The sequence below is a fragment of the Homo sapiens genome, chromosome 1, assembly GCF_000001405.40.
Source record: "Homo sapiens chromosome 1, GRCh38.p14 Primary Assembly".
NCBI classification, from domain to species: Eukaryota; Metazoa; Chordata; class Mammalia; order Primates; family Hominidae; genus Homo; species Homo sapiens.
In genome coordinates this window covers 32,578,580-32,600,028 of record NC_000001.11, presented here as the reverse complement: position 1 = coordinate 32,600,028, position 21,449 = coordinate 32,578,580, and the positions used below count along the sequence as shown (strand labels likewise).

The 21,449-nt window shown below is 43.0% G+C and overlaps 1 protein-coding gene across 3 annotated transcripts in view; it reads right to left on the bottom strand.

Annotated features, from left to right (window-relative positions):
- ZBTB8A (zinc finger and BTB domain containing 8A) overlaps nt 1-21,449 on the bottom strand; it is a 66,515-nt gene that overhangs the window by 5,913 nt on the left and 39,153 nt on the right. For 2 of the 3 annotated variants that reach the window (NM_001040441.3, NM_001291496.2), the window contains exons 3-4: nt 6,275-7,098; nt 4,806-4,975 (exon numbers count right to left, since the gene is read on the bottom strand). In NM_001040441.3, coding sequence (NP_001035531.2) covers nt 4,806-4,975; nt 6,275-7,097 — 993 coding nt within the window. In that variant the 5' untranslated portion in view covers nt 7,098. The remainder of the gene's footprint in view (nt 1-4,805; nt 4,976-6,274; nt 7,099-21,449) is intronic. The other variant, NR_111980.2, reaches the window with a different exon arrangement.

Below are 21,449 nucleotides of genomic sequence, written 5' to 3'. Positions count from 1 at the left end.
TTTTAGGTACCAGTTCATAAACTTAAGATGTTCAAAGCCATGCATTAAACTCAAATTAACATCTATTATTTAGAGAAAGATCAAGGGTTTTAGTGGTGAATTGATGTCACAGAAATATTAAACATCAGCTTTCTCTAAATAGTGGCTATCATGTTTTTTATTATTAATATGACATAATAATTTCACCTATCCCTTAATCCAATAGCATTTGGTATCTGAGGTAACTTCCTATGATAATAATAATTGCAAACACTATGTGCCATGTACTTATTTAATTATTTTTATTATTTATTTATTTATTTATTTATTTTTGAGACAGAGTCTCACTCTGTTGCCCAGGCTGGAGTGCAATAGTGCAATCTCGGCTCACTGCAACCTCCGCCTCCGGGGTTCATGCAATTCTCCTGCCTCAGCCTCCTGAGTAGCTGGTATTACAGGCACGTGCCACCACGCCCAGCTAATTTTTGTATTTTTAGTAGAGATGGGGTTTCACCATGTTGGTCAGGCTGGTCTCAAACTCCTGACCTCGTCATCTGTCTGCCTCGGCCGCCCAAAGTGCTGGGATTATAGGTGTGAGGCACCGCGCCCAGCATACTTTTTATTTTTAAAATAGGGTCTCGCTCTGTCACCCAGGCTACGGTGTAGTGGTGACCATGGCTCACTGCAGCCTCAGCCTCCCAGGCTCAAGCAATCCTCCCATCCCAACCTACCGAGGAGCTGGGACTACAGGTGCATGCCACCACACCTGGCTAATTAAAAAAAAATTTTTTATAGAGAAAGGGTCTCACTATGTTTTCCAGGCTGAACATATCTTAATTTGAGGTGGGGGCGGGGGGTGCAATCTCTCTTGTTTTGTGTATTAATTTTTTGTTATTTTACTAGAGAAAGAAAAATATTGCATAAATTTAAATTTATTAATATTTTAGATAGAAGGAGAACTTGCCATTTTTATTAATAAAAGATCTGGTGGAAAGAGGACCACAGGGATTGGAAGGGTTGGGGTTCTAGTTATTTACTATCTTCTTGGAGCAAGTAATTTAAAACATTATATAAACCTGCTTTAGGGTGACAGTTAAAATATTTAACTGGTAAGATATGGGCACCACCCAGACTGATGAGAAGCCTGACTAATTCTACTGGACATTCATCATAAACAACTACGATGGTGCTGCTTCTATATATCAGCCTAGTATTATCTTTGCTTGCTTCCTTTGGCTAATGGAAATATCACTCACAGGGTTAATGTGAGGACCAAATGAGTTAACATGTGTGAAATGCTTTGGTAAACAGTTGTAGTGAGGAATAATTACGTATTATAATTAGTAATAAACAATTTTGTTCAATAGCTGTCAGAACAGTAGATTATGGGTTCTAATCTAAAAATTATAAAAATTAATTGTATAATGTTGAATCAATGTTTATGGAATATTCATTTAAATAAAGTCAGGACAGTGCAGAAGTAGGGCACCAAACACAGTAAAAAACTCCAAGAAGCTGGGCACTGTGGCTCACACCTGTAATCCCAGCACTTTGGAAGGCTGAGGTGAGTGGATCACTTGAGGTCAGCAGTTTGAGATCAGCCTGGCCAATATGGTAAAACTCCATCTTTACTAAAAAAAAATACAAAACTTAGCTGGGCATGGTGGCACACGCCTGTAATCCCAGCTACACGGGAGGCTGAGGCAGGAGAATCACTTGAGCCCGGGAGGCGGAGGTTGCAGTGAGCTGAGATTGTGCCACTGCACTCCAGCTTAGATGACACAGTGAGACTTCATCTCAAAAAAAAAAAAAAAAAAAAAAAAAAATCCAAGAAAGCTAATACAGTCTGGTAAAATATGTAGGAAAATGTATGGAATTACCACTAGTACAGTTATTATCCTGTGTGTAACTGTTGACATATTAATCAGTAAACATTAAAAGTACATGATTTGAATGAATTCTGATTTCTCCTGAGATAGTAATATTATGCGTATTAGGCTGGGCGTAGTAGCTCACATCTGTAATCCCAGCACTTTGGGAAGTGGAGGTGGGTGGATCACTTGAGGCCAGGAGTTCAAGACCAGCCTGGCCAACATGGTGAAACCCCATCTCTACTAAAAATACAAAAAAAAAAAAAAAAATTAGCCGGATATGTGCTTGTAATCCCAGCTACTCGGGAGGCCAAGGCAGGAGAATCACTTGAACCCAGCAGGTGGAGGTTGTGGTAAGCTGAGATCGTGCCACTGCACTCCAGCCTGGATGACAGAACGAGACTCTGTCTCAAAAAACAAACAAACAAACAAACAAAACTATGGGTATCAAATGTGGTATTGTTTTTGTTACAAGCTCTGATACAGATTCATGTCCATCCCTCCAAAATATGTATCTTCTAACTCTATCCACTGAAATAGTGTAAAAGAAATGACACCTCCGTAACAATGACTGCCCAGACTTTGGGCTCTAATTTCACTTTCCACTAAAGGAAATGGATTGAGAAATGGCTGATTCCAGCTCTGTGGTAGGGAAAGTACAAAGTGAGTCTAGGCCTCTTTTGGAGCCAGAGAACAAGGACACTTTCAAAATTTAATGGAGTTGTGACAAAAGGAGACAAGAGCCAGCATCAAGGTAGAGACTGTTCACTGGATAAAACTAAAAATTTGAGTGTCAAAAGGAATAATAATTGTGGATCCAAACATAATAAACCAATACAATTCCTCAAATTCCTGAGACCATATGATATCTAAAAATATAAGACCAGCAGACGTGGTGGCTCACGCCTGTAATCCCAGTACTTTGGGAGGCCGAGGTGGATGGATCACTTGAGGTCAGGAATTCAAGACCAGCCTGGCCAACATGGTGAAACCCCATCTCTACTAAAAATACAAAAACTAGGTGGGCACCTGTAGTCCCAGCTACTCGGGAGGCTGAGACAGGAGAATTGTTTGAACCTGGGAGGCAGAGGTTGCAGTGGGGCAAGATCACGCCATTACACTCCAGCCTGGGCAACAGAGCGAGACTCTGTCTCAAAAAAAAAAAGAAAAAAGAAAGCAGGTGTAGTGGAGACCTCCTTTGGTTGGACAGCCGCAACTAGACTGAAATCCTACCAGACAAGGATTCAGTAATCACTGGTAGATGCTGAGTATCTACAGTGGTGATTCTGACCTAGACACTTAAAGCATTTATACAGTTTATATTATCTTTGGCTCTGAACAGACCAGTATATAAAAACATATTAGACTAAGTGAATTAAAATGGAAATATAAAACTATTTACCATCAAAAGAATATACCCCACTTCAAGGTCTTGAAGGAGATTAAAAATCAATATACATAATTATGCTTTACGTGCAAAGTAAAAACACTAAGTTGGAAGAATTTTAAATATGGTAGAGTTGTGTGAAAACATTTCCCTCAGCAAATGAGATGATCCTAAAGCCCATAAATGTATTTTTTTTGTTTGTTTTTTGTTTTAGACAGTGTCTCACTCTGTCATTCAGGCTGGAGTGCAGTGGCGCGATCTCAGCTCACTGTAACCTCCACTTCCTGGGTTTGGGCAATTCTCGTGCCTCAGCCTCCTGAGTAGCTGGGATTATAGGTGTGCGCTACCATGCCAGCTAATTTTTGTATTTTTGGTGGATGGGGTTTCACCATGTTAGCCAGGCTGGTCTTTTTTTTTTTTTTGAGATGGAGTCTCGCTCAGTCGCCCAGGCTGGAGTGCAGTGATGCAATCTCGGCTCACTGCAAGCTCCGCCTCCCAGGTTCACACCATTCTCCTGCCTCAGCCTCCTGAGTAGCTGGGATTGCAGGCGCCCGCCACCACGCCTGGCTAATTTTTTTGTATTTTTAGTAGAGACGGGGTTTCACCATGTTAGCCAGGATGGTCTCGATCTCCTGACCTCATGATCCGCCTGCCTCGGCCTCCCAAAGTGCTGGGATTACAGGCGTGAGCCACCGCGCCCAGCCAACCAGGCTGGTCTTGAACTGAACTGGCCTCAAGCAATCTGCCCGCCTTGGCCTCCCGAAGTGCTGGGATTACGTGTGTGAGCCACTGTGCCTGGCCAACTGTACATATTTCTTAAGAAGTAAAATGATGGGCCAGGTACTGTGGCTCACGCCTGTAACCCCAGCATTTTGGGAGGCTGAGGCAGGTGGATCACTTGACCCCAGGAGTTCAAGACCAGCCTGGGCAACATGATGAAACCCCATCTCTACAAAAAATATAAAAATACAAAAATTAGCCTGGCATGTTGGTGCAGGCCTGTAGTCCCAGCTACTCAGGAGGCTGAGGCGGGAGGATAATTTGAGCCTGAGAAGTCGCGGCTGCAGTGAGCTGAGATGGCACCACTGCACTCCAGCTTGGGCGATAGAGAGAGACCCTGTCTCAAAAAAAAAAACAAAAGCTGCAGTGAGCTGAGATGGCACCACTGCACTCCAGCTTGGGCGATAGAGAGAGACCCTGTCTCAAAAAAAAAAAACAAAACAAGGCCGGGCGTGGTGGCTCATGCCTGTAATCCCAGCACTTTTGGGAGGCTGAGGCAGGTGAATCACCTGAGGTTGGGTGTTTGAGACCAGCCAGGCCAATGTGGTGAAACCCCATCTCTACTAAAAATACAAAAATTAGCCAGGCGTGGTGGCACACACCTGTATCCCAACTACTTGGGAGGCTGAGGCAGGAGAATTGCTTGAACCCGGGAGGCAGAGGTTGCAGCGAGCTGAGATTACACCATTGTACTCCAGCCTGGCAACAAGAGTGAAACTCCATCTCAAAAAAACAAAAACAAAAACCAAAAAAGAATTAGTAAAACGATGAAAAAAAATCATACATACTGTTCGAAAATGGCTACTTAGATGGTCTAGCCTGCTAAATCTTTTTCCACAAGCTTGACATGGATAGGGCCTTTCTCCTGTATGACAACGAAGGTGGCGCTTTAGGTCTGCCTTCCGCTTCACCACATGTGTGCAGTACGGGCACTTGAATCGCATCCGAGGCAGATCATCTGTCAAGAGACGCTTTGATTAAATCACTGGAAAGTTCATAACAATTCTAATAACAGAAAGAATCCAATCCAAGCCCAATGGAAACAAGGAAAGAAAAAAATAAACTTAAAAAAAAAGAAATAAAAAGAATTCACAAGGAGTTGGTTAGCCCAAAAAGTAAGAGACGAAAGAAATTTTATTAAGACTAGATTGTCAATGTAATCCTAAGTATGGAACTTTAACTTCGGTATTTGATATATTTAGAAAGTTGGGTAAATTCAGACTGCTATGCTTTTTTTTTTTTTTTTGAGATAGAGTTTCGCTCTGTTGCCCAGGCTGGAGTGCAATGGCGCAATCTCCACTCACTGCAACCTCTGCCTCCTGGGTTCTCCTGAAGCGATTCTTCTGCCTCAGGCTCCTGAGTAGCTGGGATTACAGACATGCGCCAGCACTCCCAGCTAATTTTTGTATTTTTCGTAGAGACATGGTTTCACCATGTTGGTCAGGTTGGTCTTGAACTCCTGACCTCATGATCTGCCCGCCTCAGCCTCCCAAAGTGCTGGGATTACAGGCGTGAGCCACTGTGCCCGGCCTGTATTTGTATCTTAATAAGCTAAATACTCCTCTGAGTAAGTACACAGGAAAAAAAAAAACTATTTAAAGTGAAAATATGTGTCTCAGGGATTGAACTATTTAGAAAAGAGCTTTAAACATTTAAGAGTAATCTAACCACCCACAGATACAGGTTTGGAAAATCATGGGTTTTGACCCTTAGTATTCTTATTATTTTGATTGTCATTATATTTATTCAATATTATTTTGAATTAAAAAATTTAAATCCACGTTTTATGAAATGAATTTCTTCTTTTTTTGTTTTTTTGAGACAGAGTCTCACTCTATCGCCCAGGATGGAGTGCAGTGGTGTAATCTCAGCTCCCTGCAACCTCCGCCTCCCGGGTTCAAGTGATTCTCCTGCCTCAGCCTCCTGAATAGCTGGGATTACAGGCACACATCACAATGCTCGGCTAATTTTTTTGTACTTTTAGTGGAGACGGGGTTTTGCCATGTTGGCCAGGCTGGTCTCGAACTCCTGACCTCAGGTGATCTGCCCGCCTCAGCCTCCCAAACTGCTGGAATCACAGGCGTGAGCCACCACGCCTATCCTTACTAAATAAATTTCATTACAAAAATAGAACTTTTGAAAAAAATCACTTGCTTCAACTGCTTAGAGCACCTGAAACTAAGGGTGTTTTGACAGTAGACTGATTAATATAGCAGTTTGGAACCTGGATGAGGGGACTTATGCTCTTTTTGGGTACCTGGAAAGCTTTTGGATGTGACATCAGATCCTTGACCGTACTGATAGCCAACAGGAGTAGAGTCCATTTCAGCATCAATCTGTGCTTGTTCTTCAGACTGGGAAACATGGCTGGAAGAATCAGATGTTCGTACTTCTCGTTTGCTTGACTTATAATGAGTAACTTCAGAAGGCTGTGACAATCTCAAATGTTTGGTCTTTTTAATGGACTCTTTCCTTGGTTCATGCTTGGCCAAGGGTTGTTGAGTATTCTTCTGGGAGGCTGGATGATAATTATACTTATTCCAAGATTTTCCACTTATTATACCTGTTCCTTGCTCTGGGCTTAGGTGAGAACGTGGAGAACTGCTTCCTTCTTGCCAGCCACCACTATAAAAAGAGGAACGTTCTACACCATTAGAATTGGCATCTTTATCTGAGAGACTGAAATAGCGATCTTTTTCTTTCTCACTAATGTCTAAGGAAGATTTAATAAAAGTCTTACATACACTTATGACATCAGTCATCTGAAGGAAGCTAGCAGCCGACATCACTTCTATGACATTCTGACCAGTAAGAGACAGTTTGCCAGAATATACGAAGTCCAAGATAACTGTAAAAGTGTCAGGGGAGAAAGCCTGAAATGTAGCTGTGGTTGGCTGACTCGTCTCCTTTGAATTCTGAGAAAGAAGCATTTTAAAGTAGCCGCTACTAGCGAATAATACATTTCGATGTGCTTTGAAGACCTTCCCTTCAACTAGAATACTGCAGTCACAAAATACATCTTGCCTGCGCTGCTCGTTCAGTTGCTGCAGGAGGTGAGACTGATGAGAGGAGATCTCCATTCTGAAGAGGAAAAGACACATGTGGTTACCAAAACCTACATTACAATTATTTTATTTTGTTTTGAGACAGGATCTTGCTCTGTGGCCCAGGCTGCAGTGCAGTGGTGTGATCAAAGCTCACTGTGGCTGGGCACAGTGGCTCACTCCTGTAATCCCAGCACTTTGGGAGGCCAATGCGGGGGAGATCACCTGAGGTCAGGAGTTCGAGGCCAGCCTGGACAACATGGCGAAACCCTGTCTCTACCAAAAATACAAAAATTAGCTGGGCGTGGTGGCGGGTGCCTGTAATCCCAGCTACTCAGGAGGCTGAGGCAGACAAATCGCTTGAACCTGGGAGGTGGAGGTTGCAGTGAGCCAAGATCACACCACTGCACTCCAGCCTGGGCCACAGAGCAAGACTCTATCTCAAAAAACAAACACCCCAAAAACAAACAAACAAAAAAAGCTCACTGCAACCTTGAACTCCTGGTTTCAAGTGATCCTCCTACCTCAGCCTCCCAAGTAGCTGGGACTACAGGTGTGCACCACCATGCCTGTTTTTTTTTGTTTTTTTGTTTTTAATAGAGATAAGGTCTCACCACGTACCCGAGCTGGTCTCCAACTCCTGGGCTCAAGCAATCCTCCTGCCTCAGCCTCCCAAAATGAACAATCCTTTTCTAAGGTGAGTCAACTAAAATAATAATCAGAAGCCTCTTTTATTCCATTAAGAACACTTTCTTGTTGGAGAATATAATCGCCAAGACACAGAAGATAATAGGTTTCAACATATCACTTAATACTAGACTGTTATCAGCCAGGCGTGGTGGCTCACGCCTATAATCCCAGCACTTTGGGAGGCCAAGGCGGGCAGATCACAAGGTCAAGAGATGGAGACCATCCTGGCCAACATGGTGAAACCCCGTCTCTACTAAAAATACAAAAATTAGCTGGGCATGGTGGTGCGTGCCTGTAGTCCCAGCTGCTCGGGAGCTGAGGCAGGAGAATCGCTTGATCCTGGGAGGTAGAGGTTGCAGTGAGCCGAGGTTGCGCCATGCACTCCAGCCTGGCGACAGAGTGAGACCCTGTCTGAAAAAACAAACAAACAAACAAACAAAAAACAAAAAAACAACTAGACCGTTATTAGATTTTAGAAAATTACTTGTTTTATTAGCAAAATTTATTGAGCATCTTCTTTCATTTTTTAAATATAGAGATGAGGTCTATGTTGCCCAGGCTGGTCTTGAACTCCTAGGCTCAAGCGATCCTCTGGCCTCAGCCTCCCAAAATGCTAGGATTACAGGCATGAGCCACTGCATCCAGCCAAGCATCTTCAATAAATCAGGCCTTCTGCTATATGCTGAACCAACACATTTGATTTTTGCCTTCATGTTGTTTTCAGTCTAAAAGTGTTATCAGACATTAAACAAAGACTCCAGCCCAGGGTGGTAGCTCACGCCTATAATCCCAGCACTTTGGGAGTCAGAGGCAGGAGGACAGCTTGAGCCCAGGAGTGTGAGACCAGCCTGTTCAACATAGCAAGACCCTGTCTCTACAAAATATATATATATATTTTAATTAGCCAGGTGTGATGGAGAACACCTGTAGTCCTAGCTCCTTGGGAGGCTGAAGCAGGAGGATCACTTGAGCCCAGGGGGTGAAGGCTGCAGTGAGCCATGATCATGCCACTCACTGTACTCCAGTCTGGGCCACAGAGAGAGACTCTGTCTCTAAAAAAGTTAAATTAGGCCGGGAGTGGTGGCTCACACCTGTAATCCTAGCACTTTGGGAGGCTGAGGCAGGCAGATCACTTGAGGTTAGGAGTTCAAGACCAGCCTGGCCAACATGGCGAAACCCTGTTTCTACTAAAAATACAAAAAAAAAAAAAAAAAAGTTTAGCTGGGCATCATGGCACACACATGTAATCCCAGTTATTTGGGAGGCTGAGGCAGGAGAATTGCTTGAACCCAGGAAGTGGAGGTTGCAGCGAGTTGAGATTGCACCACTGCACTCCAGCCTGGGTGACAAAGTGAGACTCCGTATTAAAAAAAAAGTTAAATTAAATTCAACAAAGACTTGTATGAAGTTACAATGACAAGTGCTAAGAAAGAAAGAAGGTGCTATGAGTAGCATAAAGGGGCTATGAGTAGTATCCTAGTTTAGACTGAGATGGACAAAGTTAGGGATACCTCTTTAGAAGTAACATTTAAACTGAGACCTCAAAGGTGAGCAGGAATTAGCCAGGTAGAGTGAGGAGAAAAATTTCTGGTTCCAGCAAGATAGGTGAAAACTTTCCTGCCACGAATTCCTAGAGACGCTGGATAAAATACAGCTGAAGTTTTTTAAATGTGTGGCTGGACTTGCAAGAAAGATGTAGAAATCCCTAGATGCCAGCTAAGCGGAGGCAGCACAGCCCAAGCTGTGTGGGCCAGTAATGGCTAAGGGACTAGGTCCTTACCAGTACCAAACTCTGATCTATTAGAACTGACAGCTGGGAAGTTAGAAACCTCTGAGGACCACAACCTTAGTGAAAAGGGACTAAAAATTCTGACCGTATGTCCAAGGAGAAGGTAAAAAAGTTTGTCTTTGCAGGGCCCTGGGTAGGGAAAAAAAAGGCCTTAGGTGAGATACTGAAGCCCAGTGGTTTGCCTTGTGAGATTCTGGAGACCAGATTTACTTTACCTGCTTGGTGTGGGAAATCTCAACCTGAAAAATTAACATGGGCAGGGCGCAGTGGCTCATGCCTGTAATCCCAGCACTTTGGGAGGCTGAGGTGGGCAGATCGCTTGAGCCCAGGAGTTCGAGACCAGCCTGGGCAACATGGTAAGATCCCCATCTCTATAAAAATAAATAAATAATAAATAAAGTTAAAAAAAAAGAAAAATTAACGTGAAAATTGGTCCTGGGCTGGTGGTGCCTTCAGGGCACCTTGCAGAAGCAAATGCAACATTGCTCAGGAAGGGTGGGTCTCTGAATCCAAGCCAGGCAGAAATAAACTATGCTTAAGCTGAACTCAAAATCATTCCCCTCTGTACATAAAGTGGATAATTACCAATATTGTATAAACATGATATCAAATATCTCCTATCTTAAAAATGAACAGAGGCCGGGCGTGGTGACTCACACCTGTAATCCCAGCACTTTGAGAGGCCGAGGCTGACGGATCACCTGAGGTCAGGAGTTTGAGACCAGCCTGGCCAGCATGGTGAAACCCCGTCTCTACTAAAAATACCAAAAAATCAGCCAGGCATGGCGGTGCCTACCTGTAATCCCAGCTACTCGGGAGGCTGAGGTAGGAGAATTGCTTGACCCCCAGAGGTGGAGGCTGTAGTGAGCAGAGATTGCGCCACTGCACTCCAGCCTGGGCAACAGACTGAGACTGCACCTCAAACAAACAAACAAACAGGCTGGGCGCGGTGGCTCACACCTGTAATCCCAGCACTTTGGGAGGCTGAGGCAGGCGGATCACCTGAGGTCAGGAGTTCTAGACCAGCCTGAGCAACATGGTGAACCCCTATCTCTACTAAAAATACAAATATTAGCTGGGTGTGGTGGCAGGTGCCTGTAATCCGAGCTACTCAGGAGGCTGAGGCAGGAGAATCGCTTGAACCTGGGAGGCAGAAGTTGCAGTGAGCCGAGATTGCGCCACTGCACTCCAGCCTAGGCGACAGAGCAAGACTCCAACTCAAAAACAAACAAACACATGTGCCAACAAAAACTTCCCCTTCAGCCTGGGTGACACAACAAGACTCTGTCTCAAAAACAAAAAACAAAAAAATCCTCCCCTTGATTTCACATCTACTTTTGGCCTCTATTCCATTTTTCTTTTCAACTCCCTTTACACAAAATTCATTGGAACAGTTTTGCTTTGTTTTATTTGTATTTGCTGTCTCCATGTCTCCTCCTGTCTCTCTTGATCAACCCATTCCAATCAGGTTTTCATCACCATCCATCAAAACCACTTTTTTTTTTGAGATAGAGTCTCACTCTGTCACCCAGGCTGGAGTGCAGTGGTGCGATCTTGGCTTACTGCAACCTCTGCCTCCCGGGTTCAAGAGATTCTCCTGCTTCAGCCTCCTGAGTAGCTAGGATTACAGGTGCATGCTACCATACCCAGCTAATTTTTGTATTTTTGGTAGAGATGGGGTTTCACCATGTTGGCCAGGCTGGTCTCGAACTCTCAACTTCAGGTGATCTGCCTGCCTCGGCCTCCCAAAGTGCTGGGATTATAGGTGTGAGCCATCGGGCCTGGCCAAAACCATTTTTATGGTTATTAGTAACTCACATGTTGTCAAATCCAATGATAATTTCTTTATCTTCATTTTGCCTACACAGTTGATCATTGTCTTCATCCTAAAACACTTTCTTCATTTGACCACCAGGACACTACCCCTTCATGGCTCTCCTACCTCACCGGCTACTCCTTCTCAGTCTCCTTTGCTGGTTCTTCTCCATTTTCCTAATCTCCAAATTTTGGAATGTATTGGGTCTCAGGCCTCAAACATCTTCTCTACCTATATCATTCCCTAGGGAGTATTTAGATCCCATCCAGGCTCATAGTTTCAAGCACCAAGCAAGCAATCAGCTCTGCACCGACACCAGCGAGTTGTCCTGTAACTCAATTCAATTCCAATACTATGTACCTGGAGAGAACATCAGATCCCACAGGTTGAAGGCTCGGTCCCATAAGGCATCCCCCAACTTCTGATGCAGGCCCCAGCTTGTTTTATGTGTGCTTCTGACTAACCAGCTATAAACTGGGGTTTCCATAACGCCCTCCTTAAGTTTGATTAATTTGCTAGAGTAGCTCACAGAACTTAGGAAAACACTTAAGTTTCTTGGTTTGTTATAAAGGATATTACAAAGGATACAGATGAAGAGATGCATAGGGCAAGGCACGTGGGAAGCGCTTGGAGCTTCCACGCCCTCCCCAAGTGCACCACCCTCCAGGAACCTCCACATGTTCAGCTATCTGGAAGCACTCCAAATCCAGTCCTTTTGGGTTTTATGGAAACTTCATTATGTAGGCATAACTGATTACAGCATTTGCCATTGGTGATCAAATTAACTTTTAGCCTCTCTCTCCTCCCCAGAGGCTGGGGGGTGGGCTGAAAGTCCTACCTCTCTACTCCTGCTTGATCTTTCTGGTGACCAGCCCCAAACCTGAAGCTACCTAGAGGCTGCCAGCCAGCCAGCAGTCAATTCACGAGCATACAAAAAGATATCACTTTGGAGATTCTAAGGATTTTAGTTGTATCCCAGGAAAGAGGGATGAGGACCAAACACATATTTCATAATATCATAGCATCTTTTTTAAAAAATTATTTATTTTAAATAAATAGAGATACAGTCTCACTATGTTGTCCAGCCTGGTCTCAAACTGCTGGGCTCAAACGATCCTCCTGCCTTGGCCTCCCTAAATGCTGGGATTACAGGCATGAGCCACCACGCCCAGCCAATCACAGCATCTTAACATGTGCAAAACCATACTTTTTGTTCACCTCCATCCTAAATCTACCTTTCCTACAGTCTTATCCATCTTAGGAAATGTAATCTCCATTCTACCAGCTGTTTAGATCAAAGACATTGAGTCGTCTTTGACTCCATGTTGTTGGTTTTACCTTCAGAATAGCAAAATCCCACCACTTCTCTCCAAGACTGCTGCTGCCACCTTGATCCAAGTCACCATCACTTATCATCTAGAGGCTATTTATCTGAGATGGAGTTTCGCTCTTGTTGCCCAGGTTGGAGTGCAGTGGTGTGATCTCGGCTCACTGAAACCTCGGCCTCCAGAGTTCAAGCGATTCTCCTACCTCAGCCTCCCGAGTGGCTGGGATTACAGGCGCCTGCCACCACGCCCAGCTAATTTTTGTATTTTTAGTAGAGACGGATTTTGCCATGTTGGCCAGGCTGGTCTCGAACTCCTGACCTCAACCGCCCGCCTCGGCCTCCCAAAGTGCTGGGATTACAGGCGTGAGCCACCGCACCTGACCCTAAAGGCTATTTTAATAGCTTCCTTGCAACTTCAGCCTAGTCTGAATACAGCAGCCACAGTGATCCTTCTAAAACGTAAGTGAAATCACATTACTCCTCTGCACAAAACCTTCCAATGGTTTATCATCCAACTCCAAAGTTCTTCTCATAACCTAAAAGGCCCTATATGATCTGCATGCTCCCCATCCCAGTACTTCTCTAACCTCATCTCCACCGCTCTGCTCCTCACTCACTGCATTCTAGCTACCAGGACCTCTGCTTGTTTCTGAACATTCAAGGTATGTTCCTGCCACACAGCCTTTGTACTTGCCAGTCTCTCTACTTGGAACATTCTTCCCCCAGATAAACAGAGCTCACATTTTCACTTCCTATAGGTTTCTGTTCCAACGTCACCTTATCAGACAGGCTTTCCTTTAACAATCTATAAGCACTCCTTCTCACTCTCTGTACCTTTATGTATTTGTTTATTATCTGTCTTCTCCTACTAAAATGTAAAGTCCAAGAGAGAAGAGACTTTGCCTATTTTGCTTACTTATGTATTCCAGCTCCTTGAACAGCTCTTAGACAACAGATAGTCAATTAATGCTGTTGAATGAATGATTCAAAAATGTTAAAACACATAAGGAAATAGTTCTTTTTTTTGAGACGGAGTCTCGCTCTTGCTGCCCAGGCTGGAATGCAATGGCGAGATCTCGGTTCACCACAGCCTCTGCCTCCCGGGTTCAAGCAATTCTCCTGCCTCAGCATCCTGAGTAGCTGGGATTACAGGCATGCACCACCACCCCGGTTAATTTTGTATTTTTTTAAGTACAGACGGGGTTTCTCCCTGTTGGTCAGGGTGGTCTCAAACTCCCAAACTCAGGTGATCCACCCACCTTGGCCTCCCAAAGTGCTGACATTACAGGCATGAGCCACCGTGCCCGGCCAGAAATCGTTCTTTTTTTTTGTTTTTGTTTTTGAGACGGAATTTCACTCCTGTTGCCCAGGCTGGAGTGCAATGGCGCGATCTTGGCTCACCGCAACCTCCACCTCCTGGGTTCAAGCAATTCTCCTGCCTCAGCCTCCTGAGTAGCTGGGACTATAGGAGCCCGCCACCACGCCCGGCTGATTTTTGTATTTTTAGCAGAGACGGGGTTTCACCATGTTTGCCAGTCTGGTCTCGAACTCCTGACTTCAGGTGATCCACCCACCTTGGCCTCCCAAAGTGCTGGGATTACAGGTGTTGAGCCACCAGGGCTGGCTTCAAGTAACATTTTTTTCAAAAATGCTGTCGACCCTTCTACCTCATAAACATTAGCATCAGTTTGACAAGCTTCATTATTGTATTGAACTTATAGATTAATTTAGGGGAGAATTCACATCTTTATAATGTTGAGTCTCACCATCCGTGAACATGGTATACTTCATTTATTCAGGTCTTTCCTACTCTTCAATGTTATTTGCTCTGTTAAGATCTTACATATTTTTGTTAGATTTATTCCTACTGCTCATGGATTTTATTGCTATAGTGAATGGGCATTTTTTTTCCTATTGCATTATTACTGGTTTATAGGCATACTATTCATATTTGTATATTAATCTGGTATGTAGCAACCTCTCTTATTAGCTAAAGTCTCTTATTCTAATGGTTTATCCAGAGATTTTCTGAGTCCAGGTGCTATAGCTCACACCTATAATCCCAGCACTTTGGGAGGCCAAGTTGGGAGAATCGCTTGAGCCCAGGAGTTCAAGAGCAGCCTGGGCAACATAGGGAGACTGTCTCTACAAAAATAAGAAAATGGCACATATCTGTGGTCTTGGCTACTTGGGAGGCCGAGGTAGGAGGATTGCTTGAGCCCAGGAGGTTGAGGCTGCAGTAAGTCATGATGGTGCCACTGCACTCCTGCCTGAGCCTCAGAGCAAGACCCTTCTCAAAAAAAAAAAAAAAAAAAAAAGAAATCTGAAACATTCTTCGTAGATAATTATATGTCTGCAAATAAGGAGTTTTATTTCATGTAGTCCCATTTTTCTGTCTCATTTCTTATGTTTGTCCTATTGCATGTGCTAGGATCTCCCATAAAGTGTGGAAAAGAGGCTATGACAGCAGGCGTCATTTGCTGAATGGAAACACTGCTAAAATTTAACTATTAACAATGATGTTTAGGCTGGGCATGGTGGCTTACACCTCTAATCGCGGCACTTTGGGAGGCCAAGGCGGGAGGATCACTTGAGCCCAGGAGTTTGAGACCAGCCTAGGCAACAAAGTGAGATCCTGTCTCTACAAACAAAACAAAACAAAAAAAATTAGCTGGGCATGGTGGCATGCACCTGTGGTTCCAGCTACATGGGATGCTGAGGTGGCAGGACCCCTCGAGCCCAGGAGCTCAAGGCTGCAGTGATCCTTGTTTGTGCCACTGCACTCCAGCCTGGGCAACAATGACAGACTCTATCTCAAAAAAAAAAAAAAAAAAAAAGAAAGAAAGAAAGAAAAAAAGAATGATGACGTTTAGTATAGGAGTTTGATTGGTGCCCTTTTGTTTTCAATTTGCTAAAACTTAAAAAATCGTAAATTAGTGCTAAATTGTATTAAGTGTTTATTCTGCATTTATACGTTTTCCCGTCTTTGTATATTAGTTTCCTAGGGCTGCCATAACAAAGTACCACAAACTAGGTAACTTAAAAAAATATAATTTTATTGTCTTGCAATCTGGAGGCTAGAAATCCAAAATTAAATTGCAAACAGGACCATGGTTTTTCTGAAACCTGTAAGGGAGGAATCCTTCTTTATTTCATTCTATCTTCTGGTGGCCCTAGGTGTTCCTTGGTTTGAAGCAGCTTATCCCCAATCTCTGCCTCTGTCTTCATATGGCCATCTTCTCCCTGCGTGTGTGTCTCTGTATCTTTACAAAGTATTCTCTCCTCCTTGGTCAGGTGTGGTGGCTTACACCTGTAATCCCAGCACTTTGGGAGGCCGAGGCAGGTGGATCACTTAAGGTCAAGAGTTCGAGACCAACATGGTCACCATGGTAAGCTCAACATGGTAAAACCCTGTCTTTACTAAAAATACGAAAAGGAGCCAGGCATGGTGGCGGGCCTCTGTAATTCCAGCTACTCGGGAGGTTGAGGGAGGAGAATCGCTTGAACCTGGGTGGCGGAGGTTGCAGTGAGCTGAGATCCCGCCACTGCACTCTAGCCTGGGTGACAGAGTGAGACTCCATTTCAAAAACAAAAAACCCAAAGTATTCTCTCCTCACATCTTCACACTGTCTTCTCATAAGGACACCAGTGATACTGGATTAAGGGCCCACCCTACCCTAGTGACCATGTCTTAATTTAATTACATCTTCAATGGCCTTATTTCCAAATAAAAGACTGCAGATTAGGGCTTAATCATATCATTTTGGGGGAACAAATTTAACCCATAACAATCTATTAAAATGGTATATTACATTAATGGATTTCTTGGATGTTGAATGACCTTTGTATTACTGGAATAATCTAATCTAGTCTTAACCTATGAGTGAGACTATATTAATGCCTCACCATCTGAACTCCCACCCCAGATTCAGTCACTTAACCTGACTTTTTTTTTTTTTTTTTTTGAGACAGGGTCTCACTCTGTCACCCAGGCTGGAGTGCCAGTGGCACAATCTTGGCTCACTATAACCTCTGCTTCCCAGGTTCAAGCAATCCTCCTACCTCAGCCTCTAGAGTAGCTAGGACTACAGGCTTGCACCCCCATGCCTGGCTAATTTTCTGTATTTTTAGTAGAGATGGGGTTTCACTGTTTCCCAGGCTGGTCCCAAACTCCTGGGCTCAAGCAATCCACCTGCCTCAGTCTCCCAAAGTGTTGGGATTACAGGTGTGAGCCACTGCACCTGGCCTAAGCAGTTATTTAAAAAATACATTAACTTCTACTCAGTACTCTATGAAAGTTATAAATATGAACATATATACAGATGAAGACCCTATAATGAATTAGTTCTCAAGGAGTTTTATCTATAATGAAGTTTCTTCCATGTTTAATATATAGGCCAGGTTCTACTAGTAATGGGCTTCGAAATCCCAAATCTCCCAGAAATTATTAAACAAAAAAGACTGAGTCACTTAGCTAGGGATTGGACATTCTCATTATGCGCCCAAAGACCCAGCTTTTGCTGAGTCCTTATATGACCTTGTTTCTGGAGTACAGACAAACCCGGGATACTGTGCTAACAGAGACATAATATATGCATGGTTATGTCAGACAAGTGCGGAACAAGACATCTGGGAATATTGCTACAGAAGCATTAAATCAATGCCTAATCTTTTACAGGTTGAGTATCCTTCTTTTTTTTTTTTGAGAGAGTTTCACTCCTGTTGCCCAGGCTGGAGTGCAATGGCACGATCTCACTGCAACCTCCGCCTCCCGGGTTCAAGCGATTCTCCTGTCTCAGCCTCCCAAGTAGCTGGGATTACAGGTATGTGCCACCATGTCCAGCTAATTTTTGTATGTTTAGTAGAGACAGGGTTTCTTCATGTTTGTCAGGCTGGTCTCAAACTCCTGACCTCAGGTGATCCGCCCACCTTGGCCTCCCAAAGTGCTGGGATTACATGGGTAAGCCACTGCACCCAGCCAGGTTGAGTATCCTTTATCCAAAATGCTTGGGACCAGAAGCATTTTGAATTTTATATTTTTTTGGATTTTGGGATATTTCCATTATACTTAGGTTCAGCATCCCTAATTGGAAAATCCAAAATCCAAAATGCTCCAGTGAGCATTTCCTTTGAGCATCAAGTTAGTACTCAAAAAGTTTTAGATTTTGGAGCATTTCAGATTTTGAATTTTTGGGTTAGGGATACTCAACCTGTACTAGCATATCCTCTCAGTTAAAATATAATAATTCCTCTGTTCTCTTTGAAACAAGGTAGTTGGGTCATGACTACATTTTTTTGATATGATAAATAATGCTTAATATGGTTTGGCTGTGTCCCCACCCAAAATCTCATCTTGAATTGTAATCCTCATGGGTAGGACCAGGTGGAGGTAACTGAATGATAGGAGCAGCTCCGCCCATGCTATTCTCATTACAGTGAGTGAGTCTCACGAGATCTGATGGTGTTGTAAGCATCTGGCATTTCCTCTGCTGGCACTCACTCCATCCTGCCGCCCTGTAAAGATGCCTGCTTCTCCTTCACCTTCTGCCATGATTGTAAGTTTCCTGAGGTCTCCCCAGCAATGCAGAACTGAGTCAATCAAACCTCTTTCTTTTATGAATTACCCAGTCTCAGGTATTTCTTCGTATCAGTGTGAGAACAAACTAATACAATGCTGCAACAAATACTTTTGCAGGCTGGGGACGGTGGCTCACGCCTGTAATCCTAGCACTTTGGGAGGCCGAGGCGGGTGGATCACCTGAGGTCAGGAGTTTGAGACCAGCCTGGCCAACGTGGCGAAACCCCATCTCTACTAAAAATACAAAAATTAGCCAGACATGTTGGCGTGCGCCTGTAATCCCAGCTACTTGGGAGGCTGAGGCAGAAGAATCGCTTGAACCTGGGGGATGGAGGTTGCAGTGAGCCAAGGTCTTGCCATTGCACTCCAGCCTGGGCAACAAGAGGGAAACTCTATCTCAAAAAAAATATATATATAATACATATTTTTATATATTATATATACTTATATATTATATATTATTATATAATATATAAATATATATTAATATTGTATTATTATATTAATATATATCTATATATTACAATTATATAATATATTATATTATATTATATATAATATATAATATAACATATTTATAATATAACTATATTATAATATAGTTATAATATATTTAATATATATAAATATATATAATATAGTTATATATATTATATATTATATATATTTAATATATTATCTATATATAATCCTTGAGCATTGCTATGGTTTTAATGTCCCTACAAACTCATGTAACAGTATTAAGAGGTAACAGTATTAAGAGGTAGATTAAAGAAGTTATTAGGTCGTGTGGACACCTCATTCATGCATGGATTAATGCCGTTATCTTGGGAGTGGGTTAGTTAGCATGGGAGTGGGCTCCTGCTAAGAGTTTGGCCCCCTTGTTGTCTCTCTGTGTTGCTCCTGTGCTTCCTTGCCATGGGATGCCTTCCACCATCCGATGATCCTTGCCAGATGCTGGCATGAGATCTGTGAGCCAAATAAACTTCTGCTCTTTATAAATTACCCAGTCTGTGGTATTCTGTTATAGCAACAGAAACGGACTAAGACAAGCATTTAGGACATAATTTGATTCCTAGAAGTCCAGTTGTTAAGTGGGTACTGACAAACGGCCTTCCGAAAACACTATATCAATTTGTATCTCCATCAACACCATAGGACAGTGCCCTTTTCCCCAGTATTGTCATTAACCCTGAAAATTCTCTTTTTTTTTTTTTCAGACAGAATCTTACTCTGTTGCCCAGCCTGGAGTACAGTTGTGCGATCTTGGTTCACTGCAACCTCTGCCTCCCAGGTTCAAGCAATTCTCGTGCCTCAAGCTTCCCTAATAGCTGGGACTATAGGCATGTGCCACCATGCCTGGCTAATTTTTAGTAGAGACGGAGTTTCACCATGTTGGCCAGGCTTGTCTCGAACTCCTGAACTCAAGTGATCTGCCTGCCTCAGCCTCCCAAAGTGCTGGGATTATATACAGGCATGAGCCACTGTGCCCAGTCAATGCTCTCTTTAAAAAAATTTTTTTTGTTTTTGTTTTTTTGAGATGGAGTCTCACTTTGTAGCCCAAGCTAGAATGCAGTGGTGCGATCTTGGCTCACTGCAACGTCCACCACCCAGGCTCAAGTGATTCTTCAATCCACCTGCCTGAGCTTCAAGTTCTGGGATTATAGGTGTGAGCCACCATGCCCGGCCTCCCTTTAAAATGTTGTCCCATCTACCCTTACAGAAAAATACCAGGAAAATATCAATACTATTATTTAACATTGTCCTGGAAGTACTAGCCAATGAATTAGACAAGATAACTAACTACAACGTGTGAATATTAGAAATAATAAGTTATTATTACTGCAGGTGATACTGTATATCTATAAAGTAAAAAATGTAAAATCAGAAAACTATAAAAGTAAAATTCTTTTCACATGTTGGAGTAACTGGTACTAGACTTGGCCTTCTGCTATAAACAATTAGAAAAACTGAACAAAATACATGAAAAAAATTGTTTTCAGACAATGAAATCAGTGAGTATGCGACTGTGATCCCTGAGAGAATGGAACCAAGTGAGGTATGTCCTACTATCACTTTGGCTTTCTGGACTGGAATACAGGAAGAGAAAATCACACTGAATGGAGCAGAGATCAGTGTTCAGGAACATGAGGTGCCTGGAAGTTTGAGGCAAAGTACCAGAGAAGAAGCAACTATGCAAAGAGATCAATAACTCTTCACAGGAGTCCTGAGTTTCTATGAGCAGAAAAATTCCCAGAGCTCACACAGAGTTGGAAGATATTTAAGTTGTTTTTTTTCTTTTCTTTTTTTTTTTTTTGAGATGGAATCTTGCTCTGTTGCCCAGGCTGGAGTGCAATGGTGTGATCTCAGCTCACTGCAACCTCCGCCTCCCGGGTTGAAGTGATTCTCCTGCTTCAGCCTCCTGAGTAGCTGAGATTACAGGCGTCTGCCACCATGCCCCGGCTAATTTTTGTATTTTTTAGTAGAGACGGGGTTTCACCATGTTGGTCAGGCTGGTCTTGAACTCCTAACCTTAGGTGATCCATCCGCCTCAGCCTCCCAAAGTGCTGGTATTTTAGGTGTGAGCCAGTGCGCCTGGCTGATATTTAAGTTTTGACCAGCCAGAGTAAACATTCTTTGCTGAAGCTGAACATCCAGGGCATAAAGTAGAGACCCTGGAAGAGTAATATCTTAGTAGTACGACTAACCTAACACAACAGTAAAGATAACTCTAGAACTGCCCCAAAGCTTAAAAACAAGCCTCCAAATCAAGCTGATCCATTAACAAATTAACAAGTAAACCAAAATTCAATTAAAGACAGACAACAAAATTCAGACACTCAAAAATATATATTTATAGTGTCCACCATTCCATAAAAAAAAGATTAGTGCTGGGCACAATGGCATGAGGCTGTAGTCCCGCCTACTTGAAAAGCTGAGGCAGCAGGATCGCTTGAGTCCAGGAGTTAGAGGCTGTAGCGCGCTATGATCACACCTGTAAATAGCCACTGCACTCCAGCCTGGATAACACAGTGAGAGCCTGTCTCCATAAATAAATAAATAATAAATAAATAAAATATTTTTTTAAATCAGAAGGAAAAATTCGTCAATAGAAACAGATCTAGAAATGAAAGAGATGCTAGAGTTAGCAAAGAAGGATGTAAAAGCATTAACTATACATATACTCA